The sequence below is a fragment of the Homo sapiens genome, chromosome 8, assembly GCF_000001405.40.
Source record: "Homo sapiens chromosome 8, GRCh38.p14 Primary Assembly".
Taxonomy (NCBI): domain Eukaryota; kingdom Metazoa; phylum Chordata; class Mammalia; order Primates; family Hominidae; genus Homo; species Homo sapiens.
Genome location: NC_000008.11, coordinates 18917017 through 18942138, shown reverse-complemented (window position 1 = coordinate 18942138; position 25122 = coordinate 18917017). Strand labels below are relative to the sequence as shown.

The following is a 25122-nucleotide window of genomic DNA, read 5'->3' as shown; positions in this document are numbered from 1 at the left end:
AACTCTACTCTTAACCTTTTTCTCCCTCCTCACTCCTCTAGCCCCATCATTCCCTTCCCAAATCAACTGAAAACCACTTTTACTTCTAAAATTTGCCTGTAGCTTTCTGCTTCGTCTTTTTGATTTTTTTACAGCTAAACAATTAATTAAAAGAATCATTCTAGGCTGGGTGTGGCAGCTCACACCTGTTGTAATCCCAGCACTTTGGGAGGCCGAGGCGGGCGGATCACCTGAGGTCAGGAGTTTGAGACTAGCCTGGCCAGCATGGTGAAACCCTGTCTCTACTAAAAATACAAAAATTAGCCAGGCATGGTGATGCGTGCTTGTAATCCCAGCTACTCTGGAGGCTGAGGCAGGAGAATCACTTGAACCCGGGAGGCGGAGGTTGCAGTGAGCCAAGATTGTACCATTGCACTCCAGCCTGGGTGACAGAGTGAGAATCTGTCATCTCAAAAAAAAAAAAAAAAAAAAAAGTCATTCTACATCAGTAGTGCTTATCTTGTGTCTAAAATTGGTAATTATAATCGGTAATGTTGCGAGTTGGATAACGTGAATGTAATTCTTTGTAAATGTGAAAAGTCATATCAAATGTAAGGTTGAGATTTTGTTTGTCCCATCCATTTAATGGTGGGCTTGCATCTTTAAATACAGGGTGTGTTTTGGGGATCATGCCATTGTAATTTTATCACAAGGAAAAGATGTTACTGCTCCCGTAGTGAAGTGTCTGTGAAGCTGGTTCAGAAGTGTGAAGAATCATTGTGCTTCAGAATTCAAGGAGAGCTGAGAGATAAATTTGAGTAACACTTTTTATCAATAGGGAAGCTGAAGCCCAAACTTGAAGCATTTGTGTGAGACTGCGTGGTACTATCGAGCCGAGATTTAAGTCTGATCACCTGACCATCAGTCCAGCTGCTAATGTTTCATGTTCCATACTTCTTAAGGAGATTTATGTTCGTAAAAACAACTGTGATGAAGCAAAAGAATATATTTTATTCAGTTAGTAATGCCAAAGGAAATAGTAGTCTGAATTCTGTGGGTCTGTCATTAATCTGATTGTTTTAACAATACAGTTTTCAAAGACCTGCATTAATTATTGGAGAGATCAGTAAAAATTTATAAGCCTTGCTATGGGAAGAGGATGTATCAATAGGGGCTCACAGCTTCAAGAATAACTAATTGTTTGGTAAGAATAACCCCCCAGTGCAGGTGGAGCTGAGAAACCAAAGGAGAAGGCAGACAGGTCCAGACTGTTGTTATAGGGTGTTTTATTGGGGAACTGACAGACAGAAGCGTGGTTTTTGGCAACTGCAAGACGGATAGATCTCCATGCCATTATACCCCAGACCCAGGGATTATATCTAGGGAAGGGGCACACATGCTTCGGAGGGAATAGGTAGGAATTTGATGTAAGGGCAGGATTTACTGTAAGTATGTGCCATTACTCAAGAAACAGTAGATAAATTGGAAATCTCAGAGGCATTCCCAGAACTGGGGTTAATCAGAAGTCAACATGGCATGTTAGTTTCCAAGATAGAGTTACTTTAGCCTCCACACAAATGCAAGCAGAATGAATTTTATATTATTTAGCAAGGTGGAGTATGTTAATGGAGCACTTTATTAAGCAGAGCCCTTTAGTGAATTTTACTTCTAGGTCGAGCAGTCCCTTTTAAAAAATGTTTCACTTTTGTGATAGTCTGAGCGTACTTTGAACACGGCTTCATTCGGAAGCTTTAGCGCCTTCAAGCCTTGCTCCTCAAAGCTGGTCTGTGGATCATGGTCACCAGGGAACTTTTAGGAATGCGGAGTCCCAGGCCCCACCTTAACCTGCTCAGTTTCTGTTTTAAGAAGATTCCAGGTGATTCGTATATACAACAGAGTACGAAGACCATTGGTCGAGAGCAGTGGTTCACAAAGAAGATGGCTCCTGTACCAGCAACATCAGCATCACCTGAAAAATTGTTAGAAAATGCAGATTCGCAGGCCCCACAGACCTACGGCATCAGAAACTCTGGGATGGACCCCAGCAGTACGTGTTTTACTTGGTGCTGTAGGTAATGCTAATTCATGATAAATTTTGAGAACCACTCTAGGGTAGTATGTTTCCAACAGTTTAGGTCATGAGCAACCTTGAGAAATACACTTTTAATCATGACTCAGCACACACACTCACATGCACGTGTGACTTAGACGTTCCATGAAACAATGCTTATCTTACAGTGTGTTTTCTGCTCTGGTATTTTTACTTATATTCTATTAAATAGATATGTGTGTATAAACTTATTGATATAAAAATGTGGTCATGATCCACTAAAGTGATTTTACAAGCCACTAATGGGTCATAAGTTGCAATTTGAGAAACAATAGTCTTGAGCAGGCTCCTCTTGATAGTCTGATAAAATTCTAGATCTTTTGTCAGAATAGTGCATTTTAAATGCATACAATAATGTAGATAGAGTTGCAAAAGAAACCAATTTGATTGGCTACCAAAATATTACATTTGTGGTATGATAATATATGTATCCCAACTTCTCAGGAGGCTTAGGCAAGAGGATTGCTTGAGGTCAAGAGTTTGAGTCCAGTCAGAGCAACATATCTAGATCCCATCTCTAAAAAAAAAAAAAAAGCTATGTTTCTTTATTGATAACAAGATTTAATGGTGAGTCTAGTAACTATTATCATTTCAAACTAGGGACGAGTATACATATTTCCAAATATCTGTAGTAACTGTTAGATGATATGAAAATGATGAATTTCTATTGATGACAAGTTATGGTTATTGCTACCAATACTCTGGTTTGTTGCTTACATTTGTATTTGAAAACATGCTAAATTTCATCTAAAGGTAAATGCAAATAAATATGTAAATCACCCCCTCCCCAGCTTCATGAACTTCCAGAATTCTCTTGATTGGCAATTGCTTCCCCACGGACCTGAGGTTAAGAATCCTTGCTCAAGGGGAACCTTGCTTTAGAGAACAGTTCTCGGCCTTAAAGTTGAGATTCTAAGCAAAAATTTATCTTCTTGGAATTTCTTGAAACTTTTGCTGTATAGATGGCATCTTTTCTTATTTTCTAGCACCCCTGTAATGGATTCCTTTTTAAAAATGTTCTTTCTGATGTTTTAGTGAGTCCTTGGGGCATCACTTGGAAGCCCCAGTGTAGGCTCTTGATACTGTTTCTTCTCTAGTCTCCCCATTCTCAATACATGCACCTGGTTGTTCAAGCCAGATTCCTGGGAGTCATCCGCAATGCCACGAGTTCTAGATTTGGACTGCTCGGGTGTGAATCTAGGATCTATATATCTTTGGAAAAGTTATTTAGCCTCTCATTGCCTTCTTTTTTCCACCTATAAGATGGGGATGACAGTAGCCCCCACCTCATAGGATTGTTCTGAGCATTAAATGAGATATTCCATGTATTACATTAGAACAGTGCCTGGCACAGAGTAAGTGGTTAGTATCTATTCTAATTAACCTTAATCTCCCCTTTCCCTCTTTTTTTTTTTTTTTTTTGTTTGAGACGGATTTTCGCTTTTGTCGCCTAGGCTGGAGTGCAATAGCGCCATCGCGGTTCACTGCAACCTCCACGTCCCAGGTTCAAGCGATTCTCCTGCCTTAGCTTCCTGAGTAGCTGGGATCACAGGTGCATGGCTCCACGCCTGGCCAATTTTTGTATTTTTTAGTAGAGACGGGGTTTTGCCATGTTGGCCAGGCTGGTCTCGAACTCCTGACCTCAAGTGGTGCGCCCACCCCAGCCTCCCAGAGTGCTAAGATTAAAGGCATGAGCCACTGTGCCTGGCCCCTTTCCCTCATTCTTTAAATCCAGTTTATCAGAAAACTGTGTAATTCTTCCTACAAAATATATTTTAATTCATCCACTTTTGCCTATTCCTCCAAACTTCCCTGTTCTCGTTTGGATTTCTAGCTGATATCTCTGCTGCTTCTTGTCTCACTCCAATTCATTTTCCATATAACACCCATATGATCTTTTAAAAGTGTAAATGAATAATCTTTTAAAATGCAAATGAATCACTGTATCCCATAAAACGCTTCAGTGGCTTCCCATCAAACCCATCAAAATGCTCCGTCCTTTCCTTGAGCTACACTCTTCATCCTGCAAATCTCTAAACTTGCCCACTCACTTGCTCTTCTGTGGCCACTTTGGCTTTCTCTTAGTTATCTGAGTAGCCTCATCCATCCTTCCATTCCTTAAGGCCATGCGTATGGCCTTCCCGCCAATATGTCGCTGACCTTCCCCAGCCTGTCATATTTCTCATCTCTGCAGGCGTTAGTTTCTCAGAGAGCTTTCCCTAACCACCTGCCCAAATTAGGGCACCTTACGTGGCAGCCCCTTGGCCGAGTTCCTCTTTTACTAGCCTGAAGCTCCCCAAACACTTCAAAAAATTAATATTTCCTCTCTATTGGGGAAAAGGATAATTAACAACCTGTGATTATCAAACACGTAACACCAAGAGGAGTATGCACCTTTTTTCAGACCGATACATTTGACGCGTTATGAACATTAAGTGATTGTGGAGCTCTTTTAAGAAATTGCTGTCTGAATGTTGTGCACGCTAGCTCTTGGTATTAAAGAACAAAGTGGGGTCTGCCCCCTGAACCTGTCTCCAGTGGGGTGATGGAGGTGTGATTGGGTCTTCCTAGTATTGTCAGTCATTTCTACTCCAAAGCATAGAATAGAAATACTAACATTTCCCTCTTTGAAATAGTTACTTCGTTGCTGTTAAAACCCTTCACGCTTCTCTCCCCCAAAGTGAATGGTCAGTCACTGTTCAGACATGAGAAAAGATGATGTCTCATAACCAGTGGGTAGAAACCAGTACCGGTGATATCTGTATCCTGGTTAATGTTTAGGTTCATAGTAAAGAGGCAAAAGAAGGCGTCCCTGACTGTGCTAGGTCAAATTTCTTTGTGTCTTGAAATTTTTTTCCTTGCTACTTGTTTTTAATTAGTCCTCAGCCGGAGAACAGAGACACTCCTGATTTTTGACAGTTGCCTAAAACAGCGAGGAAGGAGGTCTTAGGAGTTCAGAGTTAGGATGTACCACTTTCACCATCACCTTTGTAGTTCTTGTTTCAAATAAGGGAATTTAGGAGTTACACAGGACCCTGGGACAGATGTTGAAATGTAGGACAATCAGTATAAATGGGATGCCTGGCAGTTCTGTTCCATGCCCTGTTCGGCTGAATGGTGTTCCTGATTATATAAAAATGTGATCTATTTTGGGGAAAGACTGGTTTTTTTGTTGGTGTACTTTAACAGAAGCCACACAAAGAAATATTCTTGTTATGGACTGTGGGTGATGATAATCAGTTGGAAAATGATGTGTTTAAAAACAAAATACAGTTTTCTTTTTTTTTTTTTTGAGATGGAGTCTAGCTCTGTCACCCAGGCTGGAGTGCAGTGGCACGATCTTGGCTCACTGCAGCCTCTGCCTCCCTGGTTCAAGTGATTCTCTTGCCTCAGCCTCCAGAGTAGCTGAGATTACAGGAACCACCACACCTGGCTAATTTTTGTATTTGTAGTAGAGATGGGGTTTCACCATGTAGGTCAGGCTGGTCTCGAACTCCTGACATCGTGATCCACCTGCTTTGGCCTCCCAAAGTGCTGAGATTACAGGTGTGAGCTACCGCGTCCAGCCAAAATATAGTTTTCTAATTGCAGAAAAGTTACATTAAGTTAATTTTTTAAAAACCGACCATAATTCAGCCTCCCAATCAAGCCATCCTTTTTATTTTCCTCTGACTTCCCTATAGATGTTTATATGTATACATTTTTTATATAGCTATAATCATGCAGTGATAGTTTGTATTCTGATTCTTTTCATGTTACACTTTTCATGTTTCATTTTGAATGGTTAGATAGCTTTGAGTACATATGTCATAATTATTTTACCAATCTCATGTTGGATAATTTGTTTTATGATGTGTTTTTTAATGATGTATTTTAAATGTGTCTTTGTTTTGTTCTTATTTTGCAGGCAGAGACATTTGTTTGGGTGAACAATGCATCTGCACATTCCCAGAGTGTTGCCAAGGCCAAATATGAATTTTTATTTGGCAGATCTGAAGGGAAAGCTCCAGATACTAGTAAGTATTTCCTCATATCCCTCTCCCAGGTAAACTATATGAAGAGCTGTGATTTCAAAGTGATTTTTCTCCACCTGCATTACTTTCTTCTTCCCTCTGTGAAACCTGCTTTCCCTAATTATTCATCAAAACAATCTTCCCAAGATGTAGAATCCGCAAATATTTCATGTAATTCTTGTGGCCTATTCTTGGTAATTTCAAGTCATGTTCTTGGTTTGAAGAATTCTCAGCTTCTGATATTTGAAATTCCAAGAATTAACCAGTTTTCATAAGAGTTTTCCATAGTTACCATTGTTATATATATTGACTAATGTATTTTTGGTGGTTTTTTTTTTTTTGAGACAAAGTCTTGCTCTGTCATCCAAGCTGGCATGCAGTGGCATCATCCTAGCTTACTGCAGCCTTGACCTCCAGGCTCAAATGATCCTTCTGCCTCAGCCTCCCAACTAGCTGGGACTACAGGCATATGCCACCACACCTGACTAATTAAAAAAATACTTTTTTTCTTTTTTTTTTTTTTTTAAGAGACAGGGTCTGGCTATGCTACCTAGGCTGGTCTCAAACTCCTGGCCTCAAGCCATCCTCCTGCCTCGGCCCCACAAAACACTGAGTTTACAGATGTGAGCCACTGTGCCCAGCCCTTGGTGCTTGTTTTTCACTAACAAAATATATTATTAGGAAACATTTCCACAATGATTTTCAGCCACTGCAGTCTTTACTTTGGAGGTTATTGTAGCTCTTGTTTATTTTTAATACTTTTTAGTATTGGCCTAATCTAGTTATCAAATTTAGTCTTCTGGAACTAGAAGCAACATTTTTCACTTTGAAACAGGTAAATTTAGAACAAATAGAACTATTACTAGTGCTAATTACAGTAATAATTAACCTACTAGATTACTTACTGTGTGGTGAGGCACTATGCTAATCATCACAATCACCTTATAAGTTGGTACCGTTATCCCCATTTTCCAGATGAGGGATCTGAAGTAATCTTCTCCCAGTCACAATCACTCACACAGCAGAGCCAGGAGTATAAGGCAAGTTTGCCTGACCGCAGAGCTCATCCTGTTAATGCAATACTTTTTTGAAGGCATTTTCCTAGAAGGAGGTACAAGATAAAAATGCAAATAGCTTTGTATTGAATTTCAAAACGTGTAATTTTATGGAAAACCGATGATAAAGGGGATATTAGCATATCTTGAGAATTAGATTGGAAAAGGCTATTGCATGTGGTTAATATTCTCTGAGTTCTGGATCTAGACTTCTTGAGTTTGAACCTGGCCTTGAACTTATAAACTGTGTGACCTTGCAAAGCTATCCAACTTATTTGCGGCTCAGTTTTCTCATCTGTAAAATGGGATTATAGTGACTTATGTCTTAGAATTATTTTGAGAATGAAATAAGTTGACATTTATAAAGATCTTAGAGTCATGTCCCATCTCTACTAAAAAAAAAATTAGCCGGGCGCGGTGGCAGGTGCCTGTAGTCACAGCTACTCGGGAGGCTGAGGCAGGAGAATGGCATGAACCCGAGAGGCAGAGCTTGCAGTGAGCCGAGATCACGCCACTGCACTCCAGCCTGGGCGATAGAGCGAGACTCCGTCTCAAAAAAAAAGGATCTTAGAGTCATGCTTGGTATGTAATAAGTGCTATAAAAGTGTTGGCTGCTGTTAATTATTGTGATAACCATCACCATCATCATCATATCCCTGACCTTTGAGGCCGATATTATAAGTGCAATCCTTAATTTTTCAGCTTTATTATTATCTGATACTTATTTTTGTTTTGGGAAGACCAAGAATCTGACTTAATACATACAGCTGTTGCTCAGCTGAAGAAACCCAGGTATGAACTACACATTTTTGACTCACATGTTAGATGGGATTATTTAATAACTCCAGAATATTTGAGGATACCAAGAAGGCAGTGTATACACAGCCATATAATAACTTCTTTTAGCTTAAAAAGTGAATATTTATTAGATATCTTAATAGTTGGGGACTCTTAGATACAGTAAAAAAAACAGCTAAATTATTTTTAAAAATCATTTGGCTTTTATCACAGTGTCCTAATTTAGAGGAGAATGTGTTTCGTAGTATATCTCTTATACTTAACATGTATTGTAGCCATTTATGCTGTTTGTCATGCATCATAAGTACCTAACTATTCTGGGCTTGAAGTTTGAGGTACCTAATCATCTGTTTACTCTTTCCCTGACAGGGTACTGATTATAGTTATCCCCAGACTTTTGAAAACTCTTTGGCATTGGCCTGGCGTAGTTGCTCACACCTCTAATCCCAACACTTTGGGAGGCAGAGGCGGATGGATCACCAGAGGTCAGGAGTTTGAGACCAGCCTGGCCAACATGGTGAAAGCCTGTCTCTACTAAAAATATAAAAATTAGCTGGCCATGGTGACATGTGCCTGTAATTCTAGCTACTCGGGAGGCTGAGGCACGAGAATCGTTTGAGCCCAGGAGGCAGAAGTTGCAGTGAGCCGAGATCATGCCACTGCACTTCAGCCTGGATGACTGAGTGAGACTCTGTCTCAAAAAATAAACAAAAAATTTAAAAAATAAAACTCCTTGGCATAGACATAACTTTGAATGTGACACTGTGATTTTTTTGCTAATTAAGCTTTTTTTTTTTGGCTATAATAAAACTGATTTTTCCTTAACTATATAGAGATAATACCAAATGTCTACATAGTTCTCTGCCTTATTTGGTGAGTGAGTTTGGTTCTTCCTTACTCGTGGGTTTTGAGTAGTTTTCCCTGTATCAGCAGCTCAGATATATCATAGCCGAGGCAAACCAAAATGACACCTTAAACCTTTTGTTTCTTATTTGCCTTGGTAAAAATGGTTGGTAGTAGTTGCTCCTGGTGTGATGTTATGCTGTAGGTGTGACAGGATGCATGCGTTGTTGAACAAATACATTTAATGAGCACCTTTGTGCAGGTTACTTGCGTTGGGCACATTGAAGGTGCAAAGACGTGGAAGACATGGTTCTTACTCATAAGTTTCTTATTCTTTAGCTAAGAAGAAACAATATGTCTCCAAGTGACTAGCAAGGAAGAATGATCACATTTAGTTTGTCTGGTGATAACTTCATGGAGGAGGTGGAAGTTGAACTTGGTCTTGAAGGATGACTAGAATTCTGAATATTAGAGTTTTGTGGGGAGAGCATTTCAAATTGCAGAAATGGTATGAGCAGGAAATAGAAATTGTTTGACGAACTGGGGAAGACTAGCCTGGTTAGTCTGCAGACATCATCACTGAGAGATAAGTTCAGAAAGATTACCATTTAGAAAAGGGCCATATCATGTAGGGCCTCCTAAGGCAAGTTGAAGAGTTTACAGACTTTTAAAAATAAGTAGGTGAGGAAAATGAGCTTCAGAGGTATTAAAGAACATGACTAAAGGCACATAGCTGAGATGATTTAGAATCCGATTAAAAATCCAGTCTCTCTCATAGCCCATGAGAAGTCTCAGCTTTAGTGCAGTCCTCTTAGTAGGCACAGCATGCCAGTAATTGGAAGTTATTTGATGTAATGAGGTAAGATAGGTATCTTCATGGGTTATTCAGTTGCGTGGAGAATTGTAGAACTTCATAAATTGTCCTAAACTTGCTTTTTAGAGTTTGTGTGTGTTTTTGAAACTCTCTGACTGTAATTACTTCTCACAGCTGTCTGTGGGCTGGCATAAAGCTGTATCTTGTTCCTCCCACTTTACTGAATGCAAAGTGCTGATGGCAGCTGCAGCAGAGCCTGGGTCCCAGCCTACGACAGGTGCCTGTGGACAACACTGAGCCTCCTCAGTTTCTTCATCTGTAAAATAGGGAAAATGGTAGTAACTTCTTCATAGAGTTGTACTGGAAATCGAATGAGATTGTAAATACACAGCTCAGGGTTTGGCACGTGGTACCCAATCAGTGTTTAGCTGTTAGGAAACCGCTTATGTATTAAAGTAGCAGAATCTTTATGTTGGAAGAAATAGTAGAAGTCACCTTTGCCTTTTATAGATGTGGAAACTGAGGACTCAAGAGAATGAATTAATTTGCCCAAACTCATTGGTAGGTTTGAGACCATGATCCAGGCTCCTCTGCTCTGAATCATGTGTGAAATGTGACATCATCTGTTCCTGTAGGAAAACCAACTCTCAGATTGGAAAGACGTAAAAGTCACATCACCCCACTCCCTTGAAATATGCTATAAATGTGCTGTGTTAGAAAGGCAACCACTATCAGAGTAAACAGGCTCTGAGGGAGGCCTTCGGGGACTCTTCTGTTGGAGAAGGTACCTGATGACTAACGGAGGAAGGAGGAGAACTGTTTTCACATTGCCTCCCTGCTGCCGTCACCTGAACTGTTCAGAGCCCATCATTAAAAGAAAAGAGTCGGGTGGCACTAGTGGGGAAGCCATAGGAAATGTGTTATAATTTTAAGGTTCTAGAGTGATTGTGTAGTGAGAGCTTAGTTGCTTGGAAGCCTCTGAAAGACATACCAAAATTTTGTTAAAATGTTAATTTTCTTTTAGTTGGAGCTCATTCTAACTTGTATTGTCTAAGCAAATTTTCTCTTTATGATGATTTATGGTCATAAGTATGAATAACTAAGGTGCTTGCTGGACTTAGATGTGAATGGATGCTGTAGCATATGATTTTAAGAAGTGTCTCATGTCAGTTTTTTAAAAATTACCTGTTTTTTTTTTAAAGGTAAAGTGAATCATATGTAGATACATGACTCCTTGCAGTATAATGTGGTTCTTTTCAGCAAAATTAACTAGATCAGGGTTTCGCAACAGTTTGACTATTGACATTGTGTGTTGGACATCCAACAAAAGACTTGTATGTAGAATACATAGAGAGCTCTTACATCTCAATGACAAGAAGGAAAATCCCCTAAGGGAAAAAAAAATGGGCAAAAGATTGTAACAGATACTTCACCAAAGAAGATATATGGATGGCAGGTAAGCACATGAAAAGATGCTCAACATTATTAGTTATTAGGGAAATGGAAATGAAAACCACAATGAGATACTAATAAAATCTACTAGAAAGGCTAAAATTAAAAAGACTGGCCATATTGTGATTGGTAAGAAAGTGGAGCTACTGAGCTCGTACACACTGGTGGCAGGAATGTAAAAGGTCCAATTATTTAAAAACAGTTGAAGGCCAGGCGCAGTGGCTCATGCCTGTAATCCCAGCACTTTGGGAGGCCAAGTCGGGCAGATCACGAGATCAAGAGATGGAGACCATCCTGGCCAACATGGTGAAACCCCGTCTCTACTAAAAATAAAAAAAATAGCTAGGTGTGGTTGCACATGCCTGTCATCGCAGCTACTCAGGAAGCTGAGGCAGGAGAATCGGTTGAAGCCGGGAGGTGGGGGTTGCAGTGAGCTGAGATCGCACCACTGTACTCTAGCCTGGCAACAGAGCGAGACTCCATCTCAAAAAAAAAAAAAAAAAAATTGAAAAAGTTAGTTAAGAAGTTAAAGATATACGTTCTGTACCACTAGGCCATTCCATTTCTTGATACTTACCCAGGATACCCAAGCGTATGCCAATGTAAAGACTTGTACGTGAAAGTTCATGGCCTGTCCTCCGGTTTCACTGTTTGGGAAATTAAGCAGATTAGGAATTAGGTAACTGAATGAGGAATGAATAACACAAGTGGTAGACTTTGCAGTGTGCGTTTCAAAATATTTAATCCCTTCTTTTGCCTTAATTGGCTTTGATTTAGTATGCAGTATGCACTGGAGTCTCTTAAATGAAAAGACCTTTGAGATCTCACCTGTGGGTAATTGGCTCTATCTCTATGGACAGCTTTCAGGGCTCTCTTGACCCCTACCCACTCACGTTTCTGGAAGTGTGAGTCTTGTGTTCTTGCTGTATGGTGCCTGTGGAGCCCTTTCAGTCATGTCTTTCCTTAGCTCTGAAAATATTTGTCCTCTCTACTTTTTAAAAATGGTTTTTACTTCTGCAGTTCCTATTAGATAGGTGTTGGTTCTCCTGGATTAGATCAATCTTCTATGTCTTTTAATTTTTCTTTCCTATTTTAAAGTACGATCTTCCACTCTTTCTAACAACATTTTTATAGTTTTATTTATAGTTTCAAGAGTTCTTTCCCATTCTCTGGTCACTCAATTTTCATTGCAGTCTGCTTTTTTATGGATGCATTATTTTGAATCTCTCTAAATAAACAATTAGATTTTTTTTCCCCCTGAGATTATCTTCTGTTTCCTGGATTTTTGCTTCATCGAGGGTCAGTTGTTTCATTAAATCTTAGAACTTCTTTTGAAAGCCACCGTTAGTCCTCAAATGTCTGTTGGAGTTTGTTTTTTTCATTCATATGCATGAATGAAAGTTTGGGTTCCCAGATATAGACAGGTGGAGTTGCTCTGGCTGTGTGGAGTGTGTGTCCTTAGCAGGCCTCTTCCCTTCATATAGAAGAGGGCTGGAATGGGTTTCTACGAGGTGGGGTGTATGGACTGGCACAAGTGCAGGTGGGATTAGACCCATGCTAACTGCCTTGCTGCAGGCAAGCCTCTGGGTTGGGGAACAGGGTGGGAGGGGGCTAGGATGGGAAGCTGTTCTGCAGATGATTTTTCAGTTAATCATGGTGACATATGTTCTGCTTCCCATTCCAGATCTGGAGACCTGCCAACTCTGGGTTTCTAGCTTCTCTGTGGCTCTACTGTTAGGATAACTGTGGCCCTCTGGGCTTGTTTGGGGTTGTGACTTCTGTCTATGGTTATTTTGTCTATGGTTATACTCTTTTTTTTTTTAGCACTGTTGTGAATTTATTTTCTTTTGAAATTGGTTGTTGCCATTTTCATATGACTTAGAGAAGATTAAACAAATCTGTATCCTTGTCTGCCATAGTGACCCAGAAGGCTGAATACTTTAAAAAATAACTTTATTGAGATACAATTTGTAAACCATACAATTCATCCATTTAATGTGTAAAATTCAGTGGATTTTTAGTACGTTCATAGAATTGTGCATCATCCATCACCACAGGCCACTTTAGAACATTTTCATCATCTTAAAAACAAAAGACTTGTTGGTGGCTCCTTCCTGTAGTTCCAGCTGCTTGGGAGGCTGGAGGTGGGAGGACTGTTTGAGCCCAGGAGTTCAAGTCCAGTCTGGGCAACATAGTGAGACCTTGTCTTGAGCAAGAGGAAGAGGAAAGGAGAGGAAAGGATAAAAGGCAGAAGAGAGGAGAGGAAGGGAGAGAGAGAGAGAAAGAGAAAGAAGGAAGGAAGGAAACAAAGAAAGAAACAAGGAAGGAAGGAAAGAAAGAAAGAAACAAGGAAGGAAGGAAAGAAAAAGAGAAAGATAAAAAGAAAAAAAGGAAGGAAGGAAGAAAGAGAGAGAGAACACCCACTGACTGTCATTCTAGGCAACCACTAATTTGCTTTTTATCTCTAGAGATTTTCTTATTCTGGACACTTCATATAAATGGAATCATTGTTATGACTAGTTTTGCTGTAAAATTTACCACTACTTTTTTGTGTGGAATAATAGTCGATTATATGGATGGTACACATTTTATCTGTTCACCATTTGAGGGAAATTTAATACATTAGTCTGTTCTCACGCTGCTAATAAAGACACACCTGAGACTGGGTAATTTATAAAGGAAAGAGGTTTAATGGACTCACAGTTCCACATGGCTGGAGAGGCCTCACAATCATGGTGGAAGACGAAGGAAGAGCAAAGGGATGTCTTACATGGCAGCTGGCAAGAGGGAGCTTGTGCAGAGAAATTCCCATTTATAAAACCATCAGATCTCATGAGACTTATTTGCTATCATGAGAACAGTATGGGGGAAACTGCCCGCATGATTCCATTATCTCCACCTGGCGCCGCCCTTGACACGTGGGGATTATTACAATTCCAGGTGAGATTTGGGTGGAGACACAGCCAAACCATACATTTGGGTTGCTTTTCCTTTTTGGCTTGTGTGAGTAATGCTGTTAGGAGAACTGTTGTACAAGTTTTTGAGTGGATGTAGGTTTTCATTTCTTTTGGGTATACAGCTAGAAGTAGAATTGCCGAGTTGAATGGCAATTCTACATTAAACCTTTTGAGGAACTTCTAAATTGTTTTCCACAACAGTTGTACAATTTTATATTCCCACCAGTAGTGTATGAGGGTGTGATATTGTGAAATATGTATTTGGTTTTTGTCCCCATTTCCTGGCATACACCTCCTAAAATCCTTAGAATGTCCGCAATGATGTCTTCTTGTGTGCTCATATGTTGACTGATGGCTGTCAGCCCCTAGGTAGCTTCAGGACGGGGCTGGGCACCAGAAGGACACAGCGGGATTGGAGGGTTCGGACTTTCTCCTACGTGTGTTCAGGGAAACTAAGTAGCATGGCAGCAGCCCAGAGCCCCCGGGTCAGTGGCTACACAGCAGCAGTGAGCAGCCTCCTGGGAGGAGCGAAGGGCTGAAGGTTAAGTTGGCCAATGATTTAGTCATTCCTTCCTGTGTGATGAAGCCTCCATAAAAACACCAAAGGGGTGGGCGTGGTGGTTCATCCCTGTCTTCCCAGTACTTTGGGAGGCTGAGGAGGGTGGATCACGAGGTCAGGAGCTCGAGACCAACTTGACCAACGTGATGAAACCCTGTCTCTCCTAAGAATGCAAAAATTAGCCAGGCATGGTGGCGTGAACCTGTAATCCCAGCTACTCGGGAGGCTGAGGCAGGAGAATTGCTTGAACCCTGGAGGCAGAGGTTGCAATGAGCCAAGGTTGCGCCCTTGCACCCCAGCCTGGGCAACAGAGTGACACTCTGTCTCAGAAAAAACAAAACAAAAAAACCCGAAAGGACAGCGTTTGAGAGGTTTTGGGTAGCTGAACACATGGAGGTTCTGGAAGGTGGCGTGCCTGGGGAGGGCTTGGAAGTTCCGTGCCCCTTTTCCCATACATACCATATGCATCTCTTCAGCGTCCTTTGTAATACCCTTTATAATAAGCCAGTAAATGTAAGTAAATGTTTCCCTGAGTTCTGTGAGGCACTCTAGCTAATTAACTGAGCCCAGGGAAAGGGTTGTGGGATCCTTGATCTAGACCCTTTCAGAAGCACAAATAAAACAACCTGGGGCTTGAAACTGGCATCTAAAGTGGCAGGGGTGAGGTGGGGTTAGGGCATGGGGTTAGGGGTGGGGTAGAGGGACCAAGCCCTCAACCTGTAGGATCTGATGCCATATCCGGGTAGATAGTGTTGGAAATGAATTGCATTAGAGGACAACTAGCTGGTATCCTCTGTAGGACTGATTGCTTGCTTCATGTGTGGAGAAAATCTCCACACCTTGTGGTGTGAGATCAGAGGAAAAATTGCTTATCTGTGTGTTTTTTCTTACTTACAGGGTTCCAGTTTCTCCACACTCTTGCCAACACTTGTTATTCTCTGTCTTTCTTTTTAAATTATAATTATCCTAGGAGATATGAAGTAGTATCTCATTGTGGTTTTGTGTTGCATTTTTGTAATGACTAATGACATTGAGCATCTTTTCCTGTGCTTATGGTTTATTGTACAGCTTAAATATCCCATCATGCTTAGGACCAGAAGGAGTTCAGATTTTGGATTTTTTGGGTTTTGTTGAATTTTGGAATATTTTCATATACATAATGAGATATCTTGAGGATGACACCCAAGTCTAAACATGAAATTCATTTGTTTTATAATTATGATTATAATTATATAATTATAAATTATAAATAATTTTGTGCATGAAAGAAAGTTCATGTATGCTGAATCATCAGAATGCAGAGGTCACTATCTCAGCCACCCATGTGGACAGTCTGTGGTTGTGTGGCATCACCCTCATTCCTGCCTCTGAATGTATATTCTTCTAAGAAGCGATCATTTTCTAACACTGATTCACACATACATATTTAACAGTAAAAAAAAAAAACAACATACCATTAATATGGTGAAAAAATAAATGTGTTCAGGATAGCTAAGCAGTACAGTAGCATCACCAGAATACCTATGTTAGTTCCTGGACAGTGGCAGGAACAAACAACGGTAGGCTTTCCGTCTTCCTCTGCCATGCTGTGTTTTGATTAAAAACTCTATCATTTCTAAAATGAGGTTATAGAAAAGAAAGAAAATTTTTTTAAAAAGATAAGAATTCACTGTACGTGGTTTTGTTTTTTGAGTTGAGCAGAAACACCAGTAGCAGTTGAGGGACCTGGAAGTGAGTCCTCTAAGGATGAGGAGGCTTTCTGCTGGATGGCTTTTTAAATGCGTCCTCCAGTCATCTTCCTCGTTAACAGTAGTTTTTGACTTCGACTTCTCTCTCGAATTTTATAAACTGGCATGATTTCTTGTTCTATTATGAATGTACCCTGCTGTAGTCCTTGAATAAACCCATCACACATTTTCATCATGTTGTCTATGGGCACTTTTTTGCAGTGTTAATTAATGTCATCATCCGCTTGTGTTACGTTGGCACTCCAACGTTTCAGATTTTGGAGCATTTTGAATTTTAGATTTTTGGTTAGGGATGCTCAACCTGTATATCTTTAGAGAAATGTCTATTCAGATTCTTTGCCCATTTTTTAACATTTTTCCAAAAAATTAGAGAATTTTTATTATATGTATATGTGTGTGTGTGTATATATATATATATATACTTTTAGAGATAGTTGCCTGGAAGTGTGGTAGCACAATCATAGCATAGCTCACTGCAGCCTTGAACTCCTGGGCTCAAGTGAGCCTCCCACCTCAGCCTCTTGAGTAGCTGAAACCACAGGTGTACGCCACCATGCCCGGCTGACTTTTGTATTTTTAAATGTTTTGTAGAGATGGGGTTTGGCTGTGCTGCCCCGGCAGGTCTCAAACTCCTGGCCACAGGGCCCAGCTGTGTTTTTTAATTGGCTTATTTGTCTGTTTATGATTGAGTTGAAAGCACTCTTTCTATAATCTGTATACAAGCCCCTTCTTAATTGTATGACTCTGGATACTGTCTTCTATTGTATTCGTTATGTTTTCACTTTCTTCATAGTCATCATTTATAGTACAAAAGGTTTTAATTTTGGTGAAGTCCAGTTATCTATATCTCTTATTTTGTTGCTTGTACTTCCCATGTCATGTCTTAGAAACCATTGCCTAAGTGAAGAAAACTTAGTCCTGTATTTCCTTCCATGTTTTATAGTTGTAACTCTTACCTTTATGTCTGTGGCCCATTTTGAGTTAGTTATTTTTTCTTTTTAGTGCAAAGAAGAAGCTGAATAATTCTGAATAACAGATAGAATGTGTTGGGTGAATGTTGAGCGTCTGCTTTAGGTAGACGCCTCACCATACACACGGAATTCCTGGAGAGCAAGACAAGAAAAAAGTAGCATGGCAGCTCAGCCCCTACTCATGCCTATTCAGATCTTTGCATCTGGCTGCAGGACCCAGGAAACCTACGAGTTATTGCTTTAGGAAAAATGTGGGCTGGGATAGAATACCACAAATAAACAAAGGAAGAAATGACAAATCTGCTAATTCTCAGGTTTTCTGTTGATTTATTTTCTTGTTTTCACCACGGATAGAAGTTGGTTTATAATTTTGTGGCTAGTCCTTTAGAAAATCTTCTATGTTTGGCCATTTTTATTTATTTTGCTCCTTTCTTTCCACTCTCCAGCCTCCTTCCCACCCATTATGGAAAGCAGAAAAATGATTTTACAGTATAATAACAAGTATGTGTTAGACTTGCTCACTATTCCTTGGCCGTTATTAAACTGACCATATGTTCTCCATTATTTTAGCTGTACCACAGCCTCTGCTTGATACGCAGTAGTTTCCAATGGTCTGTTTTGGCTTGACAAAGTGGGCCAGGAAGTGACTATAACTTTCTCTTTGGCTAGGGTTTTTGGTATAGTAAGTTAGAGGTTCCACCTTATTCCACACTGGCCCACGTATCTGTAGAATGGGCTGTATGCTGGTAGCCTTAACTACTTCTTTGGAATTACTTGGTGTTTTATATACTAAGATAACTAAGAAGTGTTGCAGAAATCAACCAGGAGAGCATACTGAAAAGCATATTTCTACTGTCTGTTCAGTGTTTTTGTCTACAAGATCTATTTTTTTAGATTGGTGTTTAATATATGTATATATATATAAAACACACACATATATGTATATATATATATTTAAAGTAGCTGTTGAAAAGCTGAGGAGCAGGATTTGACTTTTTTGAGAGTAGGATCAAATCAGCTTTGGAACAGCAGTGGACATCACATCTAACACTGTGAAGTATATACAGCCATGTGTCATCTAAAGAAAGGGACACATTCTGAGAAATGTGTCATAAAGCGATTTCATCTTTGTGCAAACATCATAAAATGTACTTACGCAAACCTAGATAGTATACCTACTGCACACCTAGGCTCTATGGCTTAGCCTGTTTTTTCTAGGCCACGAACCTACACAGCATATTACTGTATTGAATACTGTGGGCAATTGTAACACAGTGGTCTTTGTATGTCTAAACATAGAAAAGGTACAGTGAAAATATGGCATTATAATCTTATGGATCAGCGTCCTATATGTGGTCATTGGTGAGCCAGATGTCATTATGTGGCACATGACTATATTTGGTCTTCCCTCTGAGTTTCCTCTTAAAATTTCTAGGATTTTCAAAGTGGTATGTCTTTTTGTATGCTAATGAATTAACTGATGCCTGGCAACCCTTATGTGGCTTTAGAATGGGGCTACCTTGTCCAAGCTTAGAGCAAGCTTATGCAACCCACAGCCCATGGGCCACATGCAGCCCAGGACAGCTTTGAATGTGGCACAACACAAATTTTTAAACTTTCTTAAAACATTATGAGGTTTTTTTTTCAAAGCTCATCAGCTGTTGGTAGTGTTAGTGTATTTTATCTGTGGCCCAAGACAGTTCTTCCAGTGTGGCCCAGGGAAGCCAAGAGATTGGACACCCCTGGATTAGAGGGTTGAGACTTTCAGTCCCATCCCCTAACCTCTGGGGAGGGGAGAGGGGTGAAGTTTAAGGAAATCACCAATAGCCAATGATTGAGTGAATCATGCTTACTAATGAGGCCTCCATAAAAACCCAAAAGGACAGGGTTTGCAGAGCTCCCTGAAAGACGAACACATGGAGGTTCCAGGACGGCGGTGTGTCCAGAGAGGGCATGGAACTCTCTGCCCCCTCCCACATGCCTTGCCCCATGCATCCCTTTATCTGTATCCTTTGTAACAGCCTTTATCAGAAGTTGGTAAACATAAGTGGTTCCCTGTGTTCTGTGAGCTGATTTAGCAGATTAATCGAACCCAAGGAGGGGGCTGTGAGAATCCTGATTTATAGCCAGTCAGAAGCGCAGGTGAAACAACCTACGGCTTTAGATGGGCATCTGAAGGGAAGGGGCAGTCTTGGAGACTGAGTCCCCAACCCGTGGGATCTAATACTGTCTCGAGTTAGATAGTATTGCAGTTGAATTGAATTACAGGACACCCAGGTGGTGTATCCTGCAGAATTGATTGCTTGCTCGGTTTGTGGGGAAAACATTTGGTCACAGAAGTCTTCTGTGTAGGTTGAGTGAGAGAATAGGAAAAGCACTTCCGTTTAGTTTATTCCTGTGTTCTCAGAATGTCATAATTAGAACTGAGAACTTTAATCTCCACAGACTTGCTGCACCAGATGTAATTGAGGTCAAACTTTTTTCATGTGCTTATTAGCCATTTATGATTCATTTTGAAAGATTTTCCTGTTCACGAGTTTTATATTGGAGAGCTTGCCTTTTATTGACTTACAGAACTCTTTGGGTTCCGTTAGGACGTGTTAGAGTAAACTTTAGGTCCTTGAGATGTTGCAGAATCCCTGAACAAACCGTTTTTTCATTGTCAGGTGTATGAACTGACTCACAAAGTATGTTTTTAGCAGTCTCCCTTCATGGATCCTTGAATAAACTATCTACTCTTCAGTTTTATTTTTAGGTAGGAAATATCTTTTCCCTTCTATAAAGCAGAAGTGACATACTGGCATTTTTAACTTATGATTTATTTGGTCTAACCAATGTTTTATTAAAATATTGAGCTAACTTTTAAAAACTGGGAGATTTCATGTAAAAATCCAGACTTGAAGCTTCTGTTGCTGAATTTGAGGAATGCCAACACTGAGTGTGCCTTGGCATTGACATGAAATAGTGCTGGTGCCTTCAGAGCACAGGTACTTGGTCACCACTCCCTCCTGTGTTCTCATACCTTGCCTGCCTTACTCATTTATATTATCTCCTGAAGCCCGTGAACACTGGGCTTATGGCCTCTGCATACATAGTGTATGACTTTATACTTTTGCCCATGTGTTCCAGTTGTGAGTTTCATTATGTCACACTTTGCAACCCCAAGTAGCATCCAGAGATGGATTTTCTATGAAGCCAATGCAGGAAGCATTCCCAAGGCTCCCAGAAACCTGCCATTTTTTTGTTCTTTTTCTTAAAGAGACTCCCCGTGACCACCTGCCCAGTTGTGTGTAGGTTTCAGGACCCACAAAACTAGATCTGCCTCTGCCAGCATGAGGATCTCCTGTAGACCTTTTAAGAAATAATAAAGCTTCCTAGGCTCTACTTAACCCATGCCTATGCAGTTAGAATCTGTGGGCAAGGGATGACCCAAGCATCTCTACATTTTAAGCATCTCCCCTAGTGTTTGTTGTCATGCACATACAGGCTCGAGAACCATTGTGTTTTAAAAGATAATTTACTTGAGATGTTTATAAACCATTTTAACACTAAAAGGATGCATTTTGGAATCATTTAATACATTTAAACTGTAGTTTGATATATTTTACTGACATGCAGAGCTGAACTGCTTAGGAACCACTGCCAATTGAATACTAATAGTGAGAAGATAATTCTGAAATTGAAATATGTCAACAGGAAAATGCAATTTGATTGTTAAAAAAAGTAGTTTACATTTGTTTTTTCAAGGATTTCTGAAGAAGGTTTCTCATATCTGTGAAACTGTCATTCCATTCATGTAGAATTTCACCAGCAATTTCTGTTATGGTAGAATTTATGTAAATATTTGCTTTTGAAAATATTATAAGTATAGGTAGAATCACGCAGAGATTCTGGAGTCACTATCATGTATGATAGTGTCACAAGGGAAAATAATACTATAGCCTGACACAGGTACCTCTATTCATATTGTTTGGGGAGGTTGAATGGTTGGGTATATTTTTAGTTATCACAGTGATTGGGGATGGAGGGCTAGGTGGCTACTAGCCTTTAATAGGTGGTGATGAGGCATGCTAGACAAGTTTTAGTCCCTGGGATAGTACCACACCAGGAAGAACTATTCTACATTCTGTATGGCCTCGAATGTCCTGTTGGACATTCATGTAGGAGAAAAATATGTTTCTAATGATCCGGCCTTAGGATATGTCAATAAAAGGTTTTTTACTTAAATGGTTTTAAGTATCAGTGAGTTTTCTAGGACTGTAACTACCATGTAAATCGAGAGAAGATTATACTTTGTTTTGTTTGCAAATTTACTAAAAGTTGTTTACTATTTCAAAGTATCACATCCAAGAAAGCAGCGCTCATGCTCCCGCATCACCATTTCAATACCGCTGTATCTGTCCACACTCGAACCTTGCTTTCAGCATGATTCTCCTTTAGGTACAAGCAAGTGTCTGACTAACCTGAGCATTTATGTAATGAAAATCATTTTAATTTTATTTCCCCTTTGTGATATTTAGGGCATTATATGGATTATTTTGAATTTTATATTTAGGCAGTTATATTGTTGATGGATTTCACTGTAGGATAATAAAGAAGGCATTGCAAAATGTTACGAAAAGGTATTTTTGCCCTTAAAGAGTTGAGAATTGCTGTTTTAAAGCGATGGTTCCTAAGCATCAGGGCACATTAGATTGTCCTGTAGAAGTTTTGGAAATGATCATTGTGAACCTGCCCTAGAAATACTAATTTAGTAGTTCTCTAGGAAATTCTAGAAACTCCATGAAACTTTTTTTTTTTTGTGATTGTTTTTTTTTTTTTTAATTTATTTATTTTTTTATTATACTTTAAGTTTTAGGGTACATGTGCACATTGTGCAGGTTAGTTACACATGTATACATGTGCCGTGCTGGTGCGCTGCACCCACTAACTCGTCATCTAGCATTAGGTATATCTCCCAATGCTATCCCTCCCCCCTCCCCCCACCCCACCACAGTCCCCAGAGTGTGATGTTCCCCTTCCTGTGTCCATGTGATCTCATTGTTCAATTCCCATCTATGAGTGAGAATATGCGGTGTTTGGTTTTTTATTATTGCGATAGTTTACTGAGAATGATGATTTCCAATTTCATCCATGTCCCTACAAATGGCGCACATAGAAAATTACACTCTTTGTATTGCGCAGGGAAGTGAAGGAAAGCAGTGGTCTTGGGCTGCAGGTGACAGTTTCTGGGGATCCTGGCCGCCCCAGTCCTGCCCCGCCCCACCTTGCAAGCCAACGATCTGTTTCCACCTTGGATGCTTTCCATGCTTGTTAAAAATTCAGATTCTTGAACCTCACTCCAGTAATTCTGATTCTGTTTGACTCAGAAATCTAGTATTGAATGAGCTCTCGGATGATCCCGATTCAGGTAGTCCTTGGATGGCTGCTTGAGCAATCCTGTTCTCACGGGTCAGGGGCAATAACTGTGTGGTGTGTGAAAAAGAAAGAGAAAAAGGAAAGGTGGGGCTCCTTTCTAAGGGTGTGTGAGGTAATGCTAAGAGATTTCTGAGATAAAGCAGAGATACGAAACTCCTTCCTGGCTGGCGTTTCTCTATCAAGGAGTACAGTCAGCTTGTTTGAAAGGGTAGAACAAACACTGCTAGAAGAAGCTGAAGCCCCGGAAGAGATCACCTGGCTCCTTTTGTATGAATTTAAACTCTGAGGCATAATATCCTAAGAAACTGAGCATATTTGCAGGTAAATTATATATCCACTCTAGATATTCTTTGAAAATCATGAAGATAGGGACTAGTGCTTAAAAAAAAGAATCCAAGAGGCAAAACCTTAATCTGTAGAAAGGAGAATTAAGGAAATTGTAGAGCCTGGTGAGTTTCAGGGCGGTCTTTAGCCAAGCTTTAGAGGATTATTAAAAATATTGCAAGACCAGATAGTCTTCCCCGGGTCTGAACTGGCACTTATGAATGACGACTGAATGGTGGGAACCAGGGAAAGGGGCACGGTACAGGTACAGTGCCCTCCCTCCACGTAGAAGACCAAAAAGGTGGGGTGAGAGGCTTTGAGGGTGGTGGAAGTTTGACAGGTTGGTGGAACTGGAAGCTGTGTTGCATAGCTGGAAACCCACACATTATTCACATTTTCTGAATGGATGTTATTGGAACACAGTTGGAGAAATGCTGATGTACTGGGAACAGGCCTGGGCAAAGAATCAAGAGGCCTAGTTTTTTGTTTATTAGTATGTCAAGTACCAGATGCTAAAAACTTCCTTCAGTACATTCCTGGAAGTATTTACTTTTTCAACACGCATTCAGTGAATACCTGTAGTTGCTGGGCTAGAGGTAGAAATATGAAGCCTACAGCCTGACTGTGAAGTCTGGTTGGAGAAACAGGCAAGTAATAACATGATTCTGACACAGGATGATACCTGCTACAGTAGAGGTAAGAACAGAGGCTTTGGGAGGCTGTGAATTTGTACCTCAGTCAGGATGGAGAGAAGGCTTCTTGGAAGAGGTGACATCTGAGATCTGAGCAGAGTTTTTGAAGATAATTTAGAACGGGTGCTGGGAAGAAAGATGTTTTGACAGTGGCAGAAGCACATATAAAGCTGTGGTGTTGTGCAGACCATGGCTTGGTCAGAGCAGCTGGTGTCAAGAGGGAGCAATGAACTAGAAGACTTCAGGTGGGCAGGGACTAGGTTATGAATGGTCTTACGTGCCATGCTAAAGCATGCTGTAAGTGTGTATTTTATTAATTTTTTAAAAAAATAATGGATTGATTCTCCACATTTAGGGTTTAGGAAATCAGTCTGGAAATCATTCTGGAAGTAGGAAATCTAGAGATAGATTGTGGTTTTGGAGAGGTGAGATTGGAGGCAGTGAACCTTGTTAGGATACATAAATACATAAACACACACGCCCACCTGCCCACACCCACACACCGGTGGCTTAGACAAAATAAAAGTTCTCTTCCATGAAAGGAATCCAGATAGATGATTCACAGCTTGTATGTTGGTTCCACGGTGTTGCAGGTCCTGGCTACTTTGGGCTAGTTGGTCTGCCATCCTTGGAGATTTTCTCATCTTCTGATGTGTTTGCTTGAGCTCCACGTTCCTGAGAGCAGGAATGCAAGGGGCAGGGTTGGGGGTGGGAAATCGCAAGAGCAAAGGGGCATGCACTAGCTGTAATAAAAGGATATGGTAAGTCTTTAACATCCTTGATAGGTTCTTGGAAACTGCGACTTCAAGCGAAACATATAGGATGTGTAACAAAACTAATTATGTTATCAATATAACAAAACAGTGTTATTTGAGGACTTGCTGTAGGTCGTTTTGCTTAAAGTCTTGGTTTCCAAGAACTAATCTGCAATGTTGAGTGAGGACTTGCTTTTATTTTGGAGAAATTGCCACGGAAGACTTCTAGTTAGAGCTCATTGCCCCTGTGTCGTGCCATGATCACTTTTAGCTGTAAGAGAAAGGCTGAAAATACAGTATTTATTCAGCGGCCGTGTGCCTAGCTAAAAATGGAGGGGTTCTATCAGTAAGGGAAGAGGAGAAATGGATAGTGGGGTAAACCATCTCCATCTCTGCCTGAAAGTAGTGCAGGAATGCGAGGGACACATAATGAAGACCTGAACTGAGGCAGTGGAGATACAGAAGACGAGACATACTGCAGGGATTGCTGATATTGGTTACTGATATGATACGGGAAGAAAAGAAGGTGAAGGCATTGAGGGTAGTTTCTGCTTTGGGCAGCTGGGTGGATGGGAGGGAGGATTTGGGGGTAAGGTGGAAGAATGCTGACACTTTGGGACATGTTGCGTAGGAG

General features: G+C 40.4%; 1 protein-coding gene across 18 annotated transcripts in view, besides 1 other annotated feature; it reads left to right on the top strand.

The window, feature by feature from the left end:
• The window catches only part of PSD3 (pleckstrin and Sec7 domain containing 3), a 557503-nt gene that overhangs the window by 142667 nt on the left and 389714 nt on the right, over nt 1-25122 (top strand). For 13 of the 18 annotated variants that reach the window (NM_001412865.1, NM_001412866.1, NM_001412873.1 and 10 more), the window contains one exon: nt 5997-6105. The exons of 3 other annotated variants lie outside the window; for them this stretch is intronic. In NM_001412865.1, coding sequence (NP_001399794.1) covers nt 5997-6105 — 109 coding nt within the window. Of the gene's footprint in view, nt 1-1845; nt 2052-5996; nt 6106-25122 lie in introns of all 18 variants that reach the window. 2 more of the 18 variants (NM_001412875.1, NM_001412882.1) reach the window with 2 other exon arrangements.
• Nucleotides 1368-2567: an enhancer, noted in NCBI's record as "MED14-independent group 3 enhancer chr8:18797082-18798281 (GRCh37/hg19 assembly coordinates)". NCBI's record gives its function as "activates an origin of replication core promoter dependent on BRD2, BRD4, P300/CBP and CDK7 cofactors, and independent of MED14, by STARR-seq in HCT116 cells {active_cell/tissue: HCT116}" and the evidence as "EXISTENCE:reporter gene assay evidence [ECO:0000049][PMID:35650434]".